This window comes from Homo sapiens, chromosome 10 (genome assembly GCF_000001405.40).
Source record: "Homo sapiens chromosome 10, GRCh38.p14 Primary Assembly".
Taxonomy (NCBI): domain Eukaryota; kingdom Metazoa; phylum Chordata; class Mammalia; order Primates; family Hominidae; genus Homo; species Homo sapiens.
In genome coordinates this window covers 9,870,904-9,889,473 of record NC_000010.11, presented here as the reverse complement: position 1 = coordinate 9,889,473, position 18,570 = coordinate 9,870,904, and the positions used below count along the sequence as shown (strand labels likewise).

Sequence of the window (18,570 nt, the reverse complement as noted above, 5' to 3'; positions counted from 1 at the left end):
AGTGAAAAATCTGGAAAGAATTACAACCAAGTTTTAACATAGATCGCTGTTGAGTATAGAAATGATTATCTTCCTCTGATAATTTTCTGTATTTTTCTTTTTCTATTGGTTAGCCATGAGTGCCTTTATAACAGCAAGAAGAAACTATTTTATAACTTTCATAACATGACAGTTAAACTCTTTCGATGTGCTTCACTATTTGTGTGATTTGTCTTGTACTGTTGTCTTTTGCACCGTCATCATAGGGTATGTTTGAACGTTAGCTGTAAGCCTATGCCAGAGAACCATTGGTTGGTCCCATTGTACCACTGTCATGGGTTGTCTGATGTTAAGGAAATGTAGCCATATTTCTTGTGCTGAACAGATGTTAAGGGAATAAAAAGCCCGGCATAGGTGGATATGTGTGGAAGAATAAATATCTTGGTTTGTGTTTGCTTCTCTGATGTTTCATTTAATTGCTTATTTTATTTTGACTTGCCTTTGATATATCCAATGAAGAGCAAATTCTTCTTGAAGGACAAAATACAGGGTTTTTTTCACAGAGGTAGATACGTTGATCTTTTTGATATTGTCTCTCTCTTCAGAAAATTAATAGACATTTCTAAAATAAGCCTACACTCATTTTTCTTTACAAAAATAACAATATAAGGTCACATATGAAAATATATGAAATCACAGCATGGTTTATAGTCTGGCCCATCCTAGCGGGAATCTTATCATTAGCCTCAAAAGATTTCTACAGAGATTAGGCCTTGTTTCTTGATACTTTCCTAAAACAAATTGTTATAGGGTCCCAATATGGTAAAATTCCATTCAAAGACCTATTCATGGGTGAAAAGGGGTTCCTGGAAAATCCACTGTTTCTAAAATTATATACTGGTGGAGAAGGATAACTTGTACATAACACATTCTATCTTAACAGGATTGTGCTTTTAGTTAGAGTCTGTTTAAAATCATAAATATCCAGAGTGCCAAATTTAGTAATTTTATGTGGATTAGTAAGAGAACTAAAAAATATATCAGGTGATAAAAGGTTTAAGCTTGCATTAGTACATCAGATCTGGATTGAACCTTTCCAATATATGTAGAAGCAAGATAAAATGGAAATCTTGCATTTCTTTTTGCATGAATTATTTATTCCCGATCTTAAACTCTGCTTATTTTACTGCTTGAAGTGACTTCCTTTGCTGTTTCCTTTTTGGAAATCCTAGTTCAGCTAGAATAGAACAATGAGGAACATATTTTCTAATGAGATTGTTTTTCCCAAAATCTAAAATATGGTGATAGCGCATATGTGAATTGGATTGTCATTTCACTGTAAATAAATTTGCTTGCAACCCTTTGTCGAAGTCTGGAGAGGAATTTAAATATGTCTTTATATATTTCTATATATAACTCTATGGAGTATTGTGTCATTTTAAACAAAATTTCATGGAGGATATAAAATCTTTAGATAATGTACATAATATAAAATTACATATATATTTTAATATATATGTGATTAATCTCCTCTGAACTATAATAATACATTACAGAAAAAAGACATGTTCTGCAACAGCACAAAAAGAAGGCACCCCACTAACAAGAAACTATCTTGGTACTTAAGAAGCTTACTAATGTCAAGATGTATTGTGCTAATTAGAGACAGGAGTATGTTATATAGACAGGATAAGAAAATTTCTTAGACACCTAATGACATCATCTCTAAGTAGAATGTTTGGTTTTGCCTTATGCCTTGCACTGCATAGGTGGGGAATATGATTATGTGGTTTCAATACGTGAAAACAAACATCAATGGCCAGGAAACTAACCCTACATAACCTCAGTCTAAGGGGATGGGAGATTGTGGATAGAAAGCATCCTCCCCAGAGAGGCACATGTAATATGAAAACAAAGCAAAACAAAACGTTTTTGAGGAGCAGGTGGAAGACTGGTTGCAACTGGAGCATAAATAAAACACACGCATTATTGCATTGCAGAGCTGGGAGGAAGAAGTGGAGCTCTCTAAGGTTCTAAAATGCAAACAAAACAACAGCATGGGAAAGAAAAATAAAATAAAATTAGTGAAATAAAACAAGAACAAAACCCAACGATATGTTGTTTAAAAAAAAACAGAACTAAAATATAAGAACATGTAAGGATTCAATTTAAAAGACCAAAACAAACAAAACAAAACTACAGTAACACCAACCTAAAGCAAGCTGACATAATGATACTACCATGAAACAAAAATTAAATTTAACTACAAAATCCATTATTAGGGACAAAAGCTCATGTTGACCATATGAACTATTGCAAGTTTCATGCATCTAAAATATTTTAAAAATAAATAAAGCAAAACTGATATAAATATAAGAAAAAATGGACAAAAGCATCATCATGGTGGGAGGTTTCAACATTCTTTGAATAATTATTTGTAAGTAAAGCAAACAAAGAGTTAGTGAAGCTGTAGAGGATTTATTTGAACACCATAACTAACACGAGTGACCATATGCACATATTTATAAGTCTCTATGAAATTATATATACTTGCATACATCAGTTTGTTGCATGTCACTTTACTGTGCTTTGCAGATACTGCTTTTTTCACAAGTTGAAGGTTTGTAGCAATCCTGCACTAAGCAATTCTATCAGCACCATTTTTCCAGTAGTGTGTGCTCAGTTTGTGTAAAATTCTGGTGATTCTCACAGTATTCAAACTCTTTCATTACTATTATATCTGCTATGATGATCTGTGATCAGTGGTCCTTCATGTTACTATTGTAATTATTTTGGGCCTCCATGAATTGCACCCACATGAGCAGTAATCTTAATTAATATTGTGTGTGTTCTGACTGCCCCCAATGACCTAAAATTCCTCCATCTCTCACCCTCTCCTTGGGCCTCCCTATTTCCTGAAGCATACTAATATTGAAATTAGGCCAGTTAGCGGGGTTGGGGGCTAGGGGAGGGGTGGCTTTGGGAGAAATACCTAATGTAGATGACAGGTTGATGGGTGCAGCAAATCACCATGGCACGTGTATACCTATGTAACAAACCTGCATGTTCTGCACATGTACTCCAGAACTTAAAGTAAAATTAAAAAAAATAATAAATTTGATCTTTTTCCACATATAAAAAAAGAAATTAGGCCAATTAATAACCCTACAGTGGCCTCTAAGTGTTCAAGTGAAGCAGAGTTATACATTACTCATTTTAAATAAAAAAGCTAGAAAGAAGTAAGTATACTGAGAAGTAAGTAACCTGAGATAGGCTGAAAGCTACACCTCTTGCACCAAACATTTAGCCAAGTTATGAATGCAAAGGAAAAGTTGTTGAAGAAAATTGAAAGTGCTGCTCTCCTGAACACATGAATGATAACAAAGTGAAATAGGCTTATTGCTGATACGGAGAAAGTTTGAGTGATCTGGATAGAAGACCAAACCAGCCACAGCATTTCCTTAAATCAAAGCCTCATCCAGAGCAATACTCTAACTCTCTTCAATTCTATGAAGGCTGATAGAGATGAGGAAGTTGCAGAATAAAAATGGGAAGTTAGAAGAGGTTGATTTATGAGTTTTTTTAAAGCCATCTCTATAACATAAAAGTGCAAGGTGAAGCAGCGAGTGCTGATGGAGAAGCTGCAGCAAGTTACACAGAAGATCTAGCTAAGGTAATTGAAGGTGGTTACACCAAACGGCAGATTCTACTCAGTTTAGACAAAAGAGCCTTCTGTTGTTAGAAGATGTCACCTAGGACTTTTGTAGCTAGAGAGGGAAAGCCCAAGCCTGGCTTCAAAGTTTCAAAGAACAAGCTAACTTTTTATTAGGGGCTAATGCAGCTCATGACTTTAAGTTGAAACCAATGCTCATTTACCCTTCTGAAAATTTTATGGCCCTTAAGAATTATGCTAAATTTACTCTACCTGTGCTCTATAAATAGATGACAGCACAACTGTTTAAATCATGGTTTACTGAATATTTTAAGCTGACGGTTGACAAAAATATTCCATTCAAAATATTACTATTTATTGACAATGCACCTGGTCATTCAAGAGCTCTGATGGAAATATGCAAAGAGATAAATATTGTTTTCATGTCTGCTAACCATGGAGTCCTTGGATCAAGGGGTCATTTTGACTTTCAAGTCTTATTATGTAAGAAATATATTTTGTAAGGCCATAGCTGCCATAGACAGCACTTCTTCTGATGTATTTGGACAAAGTAAATTAAAAATCTTCTGGAAAGGATTCACCCTTCTAGATGCCATTAAACACATTCATGATTCATGGGAGGAGGTCAAAACACCAACATTAAGAGGAGTTTGAACAAAGTGGATGCCAACCCTCATGTATGATTTTGACAGGCTCAATACTTCAATGGAGGAAGTAAATAAAGTATCAGAAATAGCAGGAGAACTAGAATTTGAAGTGGAGCCTGAAGATGTGACTCAATTGCTGTAATCCCAGAATAAAACTTGAGCAGCTGAGGAGCTACTTTTTATGGATGAGCAAAGAAAGTCATTTCTTAAGATGGAGCCCGTGCCTGGCGAAGACGCTGTGCACATTGTTGAAATGACAGCAAACGATTTTGAATATTCCATAAACTTAGTTGATAAAGCAGCCCCAGGGTTTGAGAGGATTAACTCTCAATTTGAAAGAGGTTCTACTGTGGGTAAAATGCTATAGAGCACCATCTCATGCTACAGAGAAATTATTGAAGAAGAAAAGCCAGTTAATGCAGCAAAATTCATTGCTGTCTTATTTTAAGAAATTGACACAGCCACCTCAATCTTCAGTAATCACCACCTTGACCAGTCACGACTCCAGCAGCAAAAAGGTTACGACTCACTGAAGGCTCAGATGACTTTTAGCATTTTTCAGCCATAACGCATTTTTAAATTCAGTTATGTATTTTGTTTTTTGGACATAATGCTATTGCACATTTCATGGACTAGAATATAGTGTAAACATAACTTTGATATGCAGTAGGAAATGAAAAAACATTGTATATTTTCTTTATTGAGGTAGTCAGAAACTGAACCCACATCTCTGATGTGTGCCTGTGTTCTTCTCAAGCACAGATGGATATTTTTTCAAATGACCGTTTACATAGAACAAGTCAATAAATTATTAAAAATGGGTATGCAATGACCATATTGCAATTAAGTAAAAATTAGTACCAAATGTAACATTTAAAAAAATCATAAGTTGAGAATTTGGAATACACAAATAAACAACTTGTGGTAGGAGACATTATCATATGAATTTTAAAATACTTTCATCTTTATTAATAATAAAAATAGTTTAGATTAAATTTGTGAAGTAAAGACAGAAAAGGATTCCTATCACTATGTATAGTGAGTGTTAATGATAGCTCAAAATGAATTAGCTGCAAAATTAGTATTTTCAACAGAATAAATTCAAAGAAGTGGAAAGGGGGAGAAAATAAACATAAGAACAGAAATTAAAGAATAGAAAACAAACCTACACTAGCACTGATCACCAGAGTAAACGGTTGGTATTTTATGAAGACTAATATGATAGATAAGCCTCTGTTGAGATTGATAAGGAAAAAGAAGAAAGGGATGAGTAAATAGTATTAGGTATGGAAAGAGAGGCCATGACTACTTATACACCAGGATTTGGAAAGATATCCAAGGCATTTCCAGGTTCTTGATAAAGGATTATTATGTAGTAGTACAAGTAACTCTCTTGCGATAAGAAACAACAACAAAAACCTGGAGGGAATAGAAAATAAAAACCACTCTATAGTGTTCATGGCCCAACAAAATAGTGACAGATTCCTAGGCAGGAATTTATAAAAGAGCCTGAACAGGTGATACTGAGAGGTTTCAGTCCTAGGAGTACGTAGTCCAGGAAAAGCAGTTAAGTGTCTCAGCCCTTTCTTGTTAATGACTTGATGCAATGGGGCAGATGTCAGAGTCAAGAGTTGTTAGGAGATAGGAACCTGTATGACCTGAATATGGCTCTTCTCTGAATAGTATGCTTCATTCACCTTACATGCAACCAAGATTTGCAGTTTTTCACAACAGGACATATGTTTATCTCAGGAGATATCTACAAGGTTAACCTACTTGGTGGATAACATGTGCTGAAAGAGCTTGGTTAGAGTTTTCCACCCTCTCAATGCACAAATCCTAGAATACAATCCCCACTCCATATCTGGACTTAAAAGACTCTCCAGGCTGTACTCAGCATTGTTTTGCCAACATAGAAAAAAATCCAGCCTTGGTCCTGGCAGAAGGAAACAAAAATTCTTCCTGTAGGAGACTAATATTATCTGACATCTCAAATTATATATAAAAGTAATTTAAGATGTATTTTCTGTAGCTGCTGTTTTACAGAAAATATCTTATTTATATGTGTGCGTATATGTGTGTGTGTGTGTATTAATCTTACACCAACCATTTTCTAAGAACTGCTATTAATTCTAACATTTTCTGTATATAATTTGGAGTTTTTCAAATATACAATATTATATTCAAATAATAGTTGCTTTATTTCTTTTCAAATTCTTACACATGTATTTATTTTTCTTGCCTTATTACATTTGCTGAGGCTTCAAGTAAAAGATTGAATAGAAGTACTAGTCTCTTTTTTATATTAAATGAAACCCTTCATGTACCATTTAAAGTACATAGGCTGTGGGTTTTTTTTAGGGATATGCTTTACAAGATTAAGAAATGTCCCTTAACTCCCAACTTGTATTATTATTAGTTGCATCTATTGAGATGAACATACGTACTTTACTCCTTTACTTTGAAAATGAAGTGACTTATTTTACAAAGCCATGTTCTTATCCACCATGCCCCACTGCTTATACATCCTAAAAAGGACGTATAATACTTTTACAAGGTGGGGTTTTGGCCTAACTATTTTTTACTAGATTTCAATCAGGGAGTTAACTCTTCTAGCAAAATACATGATATGTAAAATCTCCCCTCCCGTTGTATCAGCAGAATCACAACATACTCAGATTTTACATGGAGATATTACAGACCACAGAAGGCAGAACACAAATCATTCAGAATAAAGCGCACAGAAAGAGAGTGGATCTACAGTGCCACTCACACATCCAGAGAAACTATTTATGTGTAATAGTAATTAGAGGAAAACTATTGACATGGCATAATGAGAGAGAGAGAGAGAGAGAGAGGAGAGAGCTCCTCCCCTAGCTATAAAATAAAGCAGGATGTAGTGTTACATTTTAGGAATTCTTTATTCATTAAAATAATATATGAATTTATTGCCTTGCAGAGCCTTTTGTAACAACAGTAATACATTCTAGTCTCCTCTCAGAGGTTATCAATGATGTTAGCTTTGTATATGTCCTTAGATAAATCGTACGTATAATGACAAACATATATGAATGTAAAAAGGTATTATATTTGTGGATTTCAAAAATATGGATATAATATTGTACTTGATTTATGTTTTAAACATAAGAATATGTTTGGAGACCTCCAGGTATTTTTATAGCTGCATAGTAACCTACAATATGTGTATTCTGTAGTTTATTAAATTGTTCTTTCAGTGATGGTCTCATTGAAGTTGTTTTCATGTTTCCACTATTGTAACAGTCAATGAATTTTCTTGGACATATCTCTGTATTCATGAACAATTCTTCTAGGGTAGATACCTCAAAGTAGACTTCTTGGACTATGGAATTATGACACTTAACATTTAATAGATAATCCCAAATTCACAGTAACATGAGATAATCCACTTATGTACATTCTCACTTACAGTTGATATTATTTGATTTTTAAAATTTGGTATAACTCTCATCTCATTGTTTTGATTTGTACTTTCTTGATTACTAAAAGGTTGACCATATGGTATTTATGGTTATTTTTCTTTTATTTTCTCTGAATTGTCTGATCATGTCAAATATTTGTTATGATTTTTACATTTTTATTATCTCTTATGGGTTTTTCCTATCCCAAGTTTTTAAACATTGGTGGTGAGCATAGCTGCCTTCCAGGTTTGTAAACATTCTTTTGTTAACACAATTTTAATAGTTTTAAAGATTTTTCTGAAGCATGTTTTTAAAAATATGCTTTAAAATATTAATAGAATATTTTAGAGTATTTTAAAATAATAATTTAACTTTGTTTTATTTTTCCAAAAGAACAGCCACTTAGGCTAACGCCATTAATTCAGTTATCTGTCCTATCACCAGTGACTTGAAAATGCTATTTCTATCACACACTAAATTATCTCACATACACTGAACACACATAAAACATGTTGGTCTATGTTGTAGACTCTACTCAGTTCCATTGGTCAATTACTATATTTGTGTCCTAATACCAAATTGTTTTAGTTACAATTGTTTTATAATATGTTTTTCCCACAGAATGTTTATAAAATCTGGTGAATATCCATAATATCATCAAGGAGATCAGATAGATGATAGCCAGATAGACAGATAGATAGGTATGCAGACAGACAGACATGGACAGGCAGATAAATAAATGGACAGACAGACGGATAGATAGGTAGAGAGACAGACAGACAGATAGATACATAGATAGATAGACAGACACACAGATAGGCAGATAGACAGACAGACCAAAAGATAGATACATAGATACATAGATAGATAAATAGAGATAGAAAGATAGATACATACATACATACATAGATACATAGACAGATGGACAGTTAGACAGATAGGCAGACACAGACAGACACACACACACAGAGACAGATAAATAGACAGATTGACAGGCAGACAGACAGATAAACAGAAAGATAGGTAGAAAGACAGATTGATAGGCAGGCAGACATATAGATAAATAGAAAGATAGGTAGATAGCTAACAGACAGATAGACATATAGATAGACAGACAGACAGAAAGATGTATAATTAGATAGACGGGCAGATAGGTAGATAGATGGACAGACAGACAAATAGATAATCAGACAGACTGATAGGCAGACAGACAGACAGATAAATAGAAAGATAGGTAGATAGATAACAGAAAGATAGATGTATAGATAGACAGATAGACAGATAGATAAATGTAGAATTAGGTAGATAGATGGGCAGATAGGTAGATAGATGGACGAACAGAAAGACAGATATACAGATAGATAGATAGACGTAGAATTAGGTAGATAGCTGGGCAGATAGGTAGATAGATGGACGAACGGATAGACAGATATACAGATAGATGAATAGTTATGTAGATACATGGACAGATAAATAGAGGGATAGATAGATAGATAGATAGATAGATAGATAGATAGATAGATAGATAGATAGATAGAATGTTCCTCAATTTTAATGGCTTCATGGTTACAGTGTAGCAGGAAAAGTTGCTCATTTGTTATTCTTTTTAAAAATTGTTTTGGGCTGAGGCAGGAGAATCGCTTGAACCCGGGAGGCGGAGGCGGAGGTTGCAGTGAGCGGAGATCGCACCACTTCACTCCAGCCTGGGCGACAGAGCGAGACACTGTCTCAAAAAAAAAAATTGTTTTGGATATTCTTATTTATATTTCCATGTAGTTTTTAAATATAAAGTTCTTGATATTTTCTATTTTTTTTATAAGATGGCCAATCAGGTGTGGCCACAAGAAGAGACAGATGAGAGGCTCAGGAAAACAGTTTATTATACTCACAGTTCCTAGAGACAGGAGGCATGTTGCAGCCACATGGAAAAACTCCAGGATTGTCAGGAGGCAGAAGACAGGAGCCCAGGGAAGGTTAAAGCCAAAATCTTTATTGGAGTTTCCACTGGACAGGCAAGGCAGGGCAGTGTAAACCATTTAGGATTGGCCAGTTTGATCAATTTCAGCACGCTCTAATCAATAGGGGTGATCCCTAGTTGTCCGGTCCCTGGCCCTGGGATGATTAAGGCGAGGAACATTGCCTCCTGGGGTGTAGGGGCCAGATAGAGGACGTATAGATAGCTCTGGATTGGTTAGTTTGTAGACCAAAGGTGTATTCCTCCCTGAGCCCTTCCTATCTCGAAATATTGAATAGCCCTGGGAGGGACATTGTCTCCCCAGCCAGAAAGGTCTTATAAGATGTCAAAACATCAATATAGACAAAAAATAGAAGTATATGTATACAGTGTATCTACAATGCACTTGAAAAATTCCGTAGCAAATTTATTGGACTTTCACTGAAATTACACAGTACTGTAGATTGAGAATCAACATTATGATTTTCATCTTCTTTAGTTAAAAATTATGCATTATTTTATTTAAACTAGTCTTATTTTAATGATGAAATTATATATTGCACATTTATTGTTTTGCTTATTCGTACTGGTTAATTGTATTGCCAAAAAAACCTATTTTCTCCTTAAAATTTGTGTTTAATTATACAGACCTACTACTTAGCTATTGATGTTTTCCTCCCGTTTTAATGAGAAATGAATTACATACAATAAAACTCAGTTTGTTTAGATTTGCCATTGTGTACAGTCATGTGACAGATACAGCAGAGATTATAAAGATATTAAATACATATCTGTTTTTTAAAATGAAGTATTAGGAAATTTGGACTAACTCATACCATGGCAGGCAAAAATAAATAAATAAATAAATACATAAATACATAAATACATAAATAAAAATTTGAAAGAAATAAAAGCACTAAATGGTATTTGTTATAGATTGATAAGATTTAAAAATACTAGGATTATTCTGGATAAGAACACTGTCAATTACATGTGTCGCAAATACAGCAGGTCCTTGAATTAATGTTGTTTCATTCCATGTCGTTTTGTTACAATGTTGATGCGGCTGGGGCCACAATGTGGAGTTAGAACGCTCTCCCACGCCGCCACGGGTTTTCTCCAGGCACTCTGGTATCCCCCACCTCCCAGAGATGTGCACATTAAGTGAACTGGCGAGACTGAACAGTCCCAGTCTGAGTGAGTGTGGGTGTGTCAGTGGTGACAGAGATCCGAGTTACCCCATTACTGATATGCGTCCATAGCAACTTCAGTCCTTGCCTCCTCAGAAGAAAGAATTGGAATGAGGGGCATAAATCAGAGTGAATGAGGCAAGTTTCAGAGTAAGAGTGGAAGTTTACTAAAAAGCCTTTAGAACAGGAAGGAAAGGAAAGACCGCTTGGAAGGGATCCAAGTGGGCGCTTGAAGGTGGAGAGAAAAGAGAGAAAGATGGGGCCTTCAACCTTGCTCCTGAGACTTTATAGGCTCGCCTCTTTCCCAAGACTCTCCCTTTAAGATGGGCTTTCCGCATGCGCTGTGCCCACCTCACCCTTGGGAACTGAGCATGCGCATTGTTTTTAGGGCACTTACCCAGACGCCCATCTGAGGCTTTTCTCCCCTATTCCGATGGAATGTGTCCCCGGAAGCTGATACTTCGCCATTTTTTTTTTTTTTTTTTTTTTTTTTTTGTCTCTTAACAGGCGGGCTGAGGAAGTTGCCTCTCTCTGGCGCCTGCATTCAATGAACGTTTGTAATGTTAGCAGGTGTGGACCTTGAGGAGATTTTCTCTCCCTGGCTGCCCAATTATCATTTTTAGAGAGGCAATGCGATAATTGCTGAACGATGTCACCTGACATTCCTAGCGGGTGGGAGAGAGCCCTCTCCTGCCCCGCTCATTGCCTAACTACCTGTAACAGGTGTGTGGGTGAGTGCTCCCTGTGATGGAACGGTGTCCTGTTCAGGACTGGGTGCCACCTGGCACCTTGAGCTGCCAGGACCGGCTCGGGCTGCTCGCGATCCCAAACTAGAACAAATGGGTAAATATCTTGCTTGATTTTTAAAATCTTTCTTTAATATACGAATAGCTCATATTTGTTCCAGTGTTTAATACCAGAAGTGTTTCGGGTCTTTATTTAGAAGTTTGGTGATGTTTTTGCAACCAGAAATATGCTGTAGGAACTTAACTCTTGTTGATATCAACTAGCCTATGGGCAAATAGTTTCTTTATACCTAGTTTCACTTAAAGTTGCAGTTGCCAAGAACCTAGTACATAAGTGAGGACTTACTCTATCGTCTTCCATTCTGCAGCTTATTATTATTATTATTATTATTATTATTATTGAGACGAAGTCTCACTCTGTCGCCCAGGCTGGAGAGCAGTGGCGCGATTTCAGCTCACTGCAACTTCCACCTCCCGGGTTCAAGCCATTCTCCTACCTCAGCCTCCCGAGTAGCTGGAACTACAGGCACCCGCCACCACGCCTGGCTAATTTTTGTATTTTTAGTAGAGACGGTGTTTCGCCATATTGGCCAGGCTGGTCTAGAACTCCTGACCTCAGGTGATCCACCCGCCTCGGCCTCCCATAATGCTGGGATAACAGGCGTGAGCCACCGCGCCCGGCCTTTGTTTACTTTTTTAGTGGTACCATTTGATAAACGGACATTCTGGCTTTTTGTTGTTCAATTTCTAAATATTTTTATGACTATTGCATTTTGTACCTTATTTAGCAATTATTTTCCTACTGGATATTTTCTGTATTCTAATTCTAGAAGTTTTGTTATTTTGCCTCAGATTTAGATCTAGAAATCACTTGTAATTAATTTCTGTATATGGTGTGATGTAAGAATTAAGGTCCATTTTTCCCCCTCAACGGACCAACCTCATTTATTAAAAGACTTGTTCAGTGGCACCTTCTTGATCAAAAATTAAATGGTTTATGTATGCTTGGATCTGGTCTTTTATTTTATAGGTGTATTTGTATATTTTTTAAAATATACGATTTTAATAAGTTTAACTTTAAAACAAATTTTGATATTTACGCCTTTCCCCCTACATTTTTGGCTTTTCCATCTTTTTTAGGATTATTTCATAGATTTACACACGTATGTCAACATACACACTTGGATTTTGATTGAAATCACGTTCAAAATGTATATTGATTTGGGAAAAATGGGCATGTCTTGCATTATTGAGTTCTCCAATATTTAAATATGATATGTACTATTATTGATTTAGGTCTTCTTTGATTACCCTCAATAATGTTGTGTAAATTGTAATATAAATTGTTGTCTAAGTCTTCTATATATTTCATTGTATTTTATCTTACATATTTGATTTTTTGGATGCAATGATAAATATCTTTAAAATTTTTCATAGCCTATATATTTCTGAAATATGAAATACAAGTGATTTTTGTACTACCTTGGTATTTAGCAAAACTGCTAAACTAGCATTATTTTTAATAAGTGGCCTACTGATTATTTTTGATACAATATATCAATCTGCAGATATGAGTATTTTAATATACTTTCAAACCTCCATAACTTTGGTTTCTCTTTCTTGACTTACTGCAGTGGCTACAGTGATCACTAAATGTTGGAAAGAATGGTTGCTTATACAACCCCTCTAGGTTTTTTTCTAGATCCAAGTGAAGAAATTTAGTCTTAATTTTAGTTGTTTTTTTAAATCAATAACTGATATTGAATGTTATCAAAGGCCTTTTCAGCAGTTGAGATAATAAAATTATGATTCCTCCTTAACCTGTAAATGTGGTGAATTATGTTGCAATTACAATGAACATGAAACTTCCCATTCTTTGATAAATCTGTTGATTATATGTGTTGTTATACTTACTGCTTTAATTTGGTAATTTTTAAAGGATATTTAAATCCATATTCAATATTAGGATTAAATTTTACCTTCCTTTTCTCATCTGTCTTTATATTTTTATACCACAGACTGATAGTGATGGTTGACTTGGAGTGTAAACTCGAGTGAATTAGGAGACACTCAGATAGCTAGTAAAGTACTATTATTGGTGGGTTTCTCTTTTACCGAAAAAGAAACCCAGGTCGTTTGATATTTGATTAGAATGCGTGGGCTGCCCCAGGTGTGTCTGAGAGCCTGTTTCCAGAGTAGATTGGCATTAAGTCCCGGGACTTAATTAGGGAAGATCTGCTGTCAGTGTGGGCAAGCCCCAACCAATCTGTGCACAGAGTGAGTGGAAAATCTGCCCTCAATATGGGCGGGCACCTTCCAATTGGCTGACAGAGTTAGGGAACATCCACCTTCCATGTGGGCAGGTGCCATCCAATCAGCTGTGGCCTAGATGGAAGGACAAGGCAGAAGAGGGTGAATTCCCACTCTCCTGGTGCCAGGTTATACTTCTCCAGCTCTTGAACCCCAGAGTTCCAGTTCCTTCTGCCTTTGATCTTAGGGACTGGGCACCGCGGCCCTGGGCCCTAGGGCCTGAGGCCTGGAGATGAGAGCCATACTGTTGGCTTAGAGGTTGCCTGAGGCCTTGGACCTGGCCTGAACCCGCTCCCTTGAATATCCAGTTAGCAGAGTGGCAATGCTGAGTTTTCTCTGCTTATGCTGATATTTCTCGGCATACAGAAGCCAGTGAGCCACTTCTTAACAATCCTGTCTCATCCTTCTGTCTATCCTAGTGGTCCTGTCTCTCGAGAACCATCACTAAAACGCTGAAGTTTTCTTTTATGAAATGTTGTAGTTAGAGGGCTAATGTATTTAATATTAATACAACAGTGTTTAGGTTTCCTAATTACTTTTGCCAGTTTTAGTAAGTCGTGTTTTCTAGAAGTTTTATGATTTGAAATAATTTTCAAGTTTATTGGTATCGTGTGTTCTTCATATCCATTTATAATTGTTTAAATTTCTGTCTCATCCTAGTGACGCCTTTTTAAATTTCCTTTTTTTGGTAATTTCTCACCATCTAATCAACTTCTTAGAGAATTATAAATGTTATCAGGCATTTCTGTAAACCATTTTAAACTTTGCTCATCTTTATTGTGTGTGCTTTATATTTTATTCATTTTCGATTTTTGTATTTTATTTCCTCCACAATTTAATTTTAAATTTGTCATTCATCTGTACCTTCCTAATTTAAGAGTGTTGGATAGATAATAACAGCATTCTTTCTTTCTTAATACAGACATTTAAGGTTGTATATTTCCCTCACAGCAAAGCTTTAGTTGCACACAAAAGCTTTTTATTAACATCAATTATATTCATTTGAAAACATTTTTTGATTTTTATTTCTTCCTGAACCATGGGTAATTCAGAAATTTGATATTTGTTTTTCTGTTTCCAAATATGGGGGTGCATTTTAAAGGGATCTTTTTGTGGTTAAATTCTGTCTTAATTGTACTATACCTAGAAGACGTACTCTAAATATTTTTAATCATTTGAAATTTGCTGCCCTTAGCTTTGTGATCTACTATATAGTCAATTACTTTAAAAATGTTTTATGTACACTGGAATAGAACTTGTATTCTATAGAAGATGGATGTAGTGCTCTACATTTTCCAGTGGGTCAAACTTGTTCGCTGTTGCTTAAGGATTCTATATCATGTCTGATTTATTTTGTCTGTCCTGTCTGTACAGAGAGGAGTGTATTAAAACCCCTCATTATCATATTGAATTAGTCCGAGTCTCCTAGGTATTAATCTTTGCTTTATATTTTATGCCATATTGCTAGGTATATGAATATCTAGACTTACAACTTGTTGACAAAACATTAATGTTTATGAAATATCTCTTTCTCTGGAGTAATGATTTCTACCTTGAATCTAGTTTGTCTGGTATTAATATACTTATACCAATATCTATCATTTTTTTCATGATTTACTTGGTCTCTGCTGTTAATTATAGCTGTTTTACTTCTAAAACATGTATGATGGGTTTTGATTTTTTTTTTTTATCCAGCCTAAGAATCTTTACCTTTTCATTATTGCAGTCCTTCATTGAGAGCTATGTAAGTCCTGATATATTTGGGTTTGAATCTCCAATAGCACTGTTTTATTTGTATTTGTCCTACCTGTTTTCTCTTCTCTTTTCTCCCTGTTAATCAACTGTGTATTTCTTTTAATATTCATTTTTCCCTCATGTTTGGTTGGTACGCATATTTTAGTATTTGTTTAGTGATTACCCTAAAATAACAACTATTCATCTTTGACTTGTCAAAGTTTAATATAAACATTCTTTCACCTTTTGCCAGGTAATGCAAGAATATTAGAACACTTTAACTCTACCTTTCATACTCTTAGAAATTACTATTTTTATTTCACATTTCAATTTGTATATTTAACATTTGAAAACCTCATTACTATTATTGCTTGCTATGCTCAATATTCATTTCAGTTCACCTACCTATGCATTTTGTTGTTGCTCTTTATTTTTTTCTCATATCTGTGAACATCCATCTGGGATCATTTCTTTCTCTCTGTAGAATCCTCTTCAGTAAAGGTTTACTGGCGGAAAATTCTCACAGTTTTGGTTTGTCTAAATATTTCTTTATTTTACCCTAATTTACTTTTGGATATCTTTTTCATGGTATGGACTCCTTATTTGACAGTAATTTTATTTCAGGGTTATTGTTCTGTTGTCTTTTGACTCCCATCTTTTCATTTGAGAGATTAGTTATCAGTGTTTGTGTCACTCTTTGAAGGTGATGTGTCTTCATATTCCTGGCTGCTCTGAGATGGTCACTCTGTCTAGTTCTCAGAAATTTAAATATGCATATATAGAATTTTTAAAATTTTGTTTGCTATATATATACACTTCCTGAATCTGTGGCTTGATACCTTTTTTCAGTTTTGGAGAAGTTAACAACATAATTTCTTAATACATTGTTTCTCCTCATTCTCCCTCTTTCTTTGGGAATTCAAATTATCAGTCGTTAGATATTCTCTGTTGCTGTATCTCTGATACTTCTTTGTTTTCCCTCCATAAGTTTCTCTGTGCTTTATTTTTAGATATTTTAACTTATCTTTTATTAACTAATTTAGTTATTTCTAAGTGTTACTAAATCTACGCTTCAACTCTTGATATTGGTAATTTTGTTCTTTAAATTCCCTTTCAGTTATTTTTTTTCTTTTCTAGGTCTCTGCTAGAAGTGTTAATCCTATGCCTTATTTTCTTGAATATATGTTATATATAGTTCTTTCAAAGTATAATCTTTTCGGGTAACTGTTTTTAGTGCCCATGAGTTTTTTCTTGCTTTCTGTCACAATGTCTTTTTTTCACATGCATTCTTAGTTTTGATTGGGTGCTAGATAGAGCGTGTAACTGAAGAAAGATTTTTGGTCCTAGAATGATGTATTTCTCTGGAGATATAGACGCATATTTATGCTTCTGGCAGGCATTGGGGGATGTTGGTTATCCTGTATCAACTTAATTCTATTTTTGGGACTAAAATTATTCAAAGGTTTCAGTGCCTCTCCAGGGTTTATATATTTCTGGATTATTTTTATTTCTATTATATAGCCTTTTGCTATGCCAGTCCAGGTCACTGCAGGCCTACTCACAAATTCCTGTCCTCCTCTTTCAGTTTTGCCTGTGGTGTGTCTGTTGCAGTTACTGTAGCCGTGGCTTCTTCTTAGAACCCATGTTCATATGGTTTGGAAGCTGATCCTGTTTGCATATATACCTCCAAACCCATTCTATTGCCTTCCCCGAGATAGGTACCACCTGATATCATTAATGAATTATTTTTCCATTTCTGTTTGCCAGAGTTGTGTTTCATGGCTTGTAACTACCTGTTTCTTAATGTCAAAACATCCTCCACTTCTAGAAAACTCCATTTGGTCATGATATGTTGTTGTATTTAGTAAACTTGATTTGTTCAAATTTTATTTAGAAGTTTCATATTTATATTAATGAAATTACTTTTTGTATATATTTGATATGGCTAGAATTTAGGAACATGAAAGTTTTGAAAAATGAGTTGGAATGCTGTCATATTTGTTTAGCCACAAAACCAAAAATGTATTGTAAAATAAATAGAATTATCTGACACCGTCATTCATTTTTTTCAAATTATTCTGTAAAATTCTCACTTATAGTCTAACATGTAAACTTTAAAATCATTCTGTTCAGTTAAATCACAATTTGAGTTTCTGACTGAAATTGTTAATTTGTTTAGGATTGGCATTTTTAATGAAATCTGTTCTTTTCGGAAAGATGATGTTCCTCTGTAATTACTCAGCCTTTTTTCATTCTTTATTAAAGTGTGGTGATTATCTTCATATCAGACCTTATACCTTTCTTTTCTTTTATTTCTTTTTTATTTTTGGTTTTGATCTTATGGAGCTAAGTTCTTTTTTTCCATTTACATTTCAAAGTGCTTCTTGCTGCTACAGAAAGTGTATAGACTTTTACATATTTATTATGTATGTAGATACTTTTTCAAAATGTCTTAGAATTCTAAAAGGTGAAAGCTTGTTAGTTTTTAATTATATATCTTGTGATTTCTAGGTCTTCTCTTTCTCATTACTAATTTGAACAGAAATAGTCAAGTATGTGCTATTTTATATGGTGATTTACACATTTTAAAAAAGCCATTGTCATATAGAGAAATAGCCATTCTCTTCTTATTTTACTTGGAAAACATAAGAGAATGGTAGCTAAGTTTTATATTTTGTGTAACATATTCTTTATATTTTGATATAATAATTTAATAAACTACAACTAAAATCATAACTTAGAAACATCTTTCATTTCTAGAAAACTCTACTCGGTCATGGTATATTGATATATCGTATTAAACTTGATTTGTTAAAATCTTATGAGAAATATTTTATTTATAATTTCACTTATAAATATATATATTTAAAATAGCTGGAATTGAGACGTGAAAATTT

The 18,570-nt window shown here is 34.5% G+C and overlaps 1 long non-coding RNA gene across 2 annotated transcripts in view, besides 1 other annotated feature; it reads left to right on the top strand.

Annotated features, from left to right (window-relative positions):
• Positions 1–11,379: 11,379 nt before the first annotated feature.
• The window catches only part of LINC02663 (long intergenic non-protein coding RNA 2663), a 434,814-nt gene continuing 427,623 nt past the window's right edge, over positions 11,380–18,570 (top strand). For both annotated transcript variants that reach the window (XR_930643.2, XR_930644.2), the window contains exon 1: positions 11,380–11,726. This is a non-coding gene — a long non-coding RNA (long intergenic non-protein coding RNA 2663). The remainder of the gene's footprint in view (positions 11,727–18,570) is intronic.
• Positions 12,196–12,358: a silencer, noted in NCBI's record as "fragment chr10:9919079-9919241 (GRCh37/hg19 assembly coordinates)". NCBI's record gives its function as "represses an EF-1alpha promoter that drives an FKBP-Casp9 reporter gene in an ReSE screen in both phorbol 12-myristate 13-acetate-treated (for megakaryocytic differentiation) and untreated K562 erythroleukemia cells {active_cell/tissue: K562 | K562(+PMA)}" and the evidence as "EXISTENCE:reporter gene assay evidence [ECO:0000049][PMID:32094911]".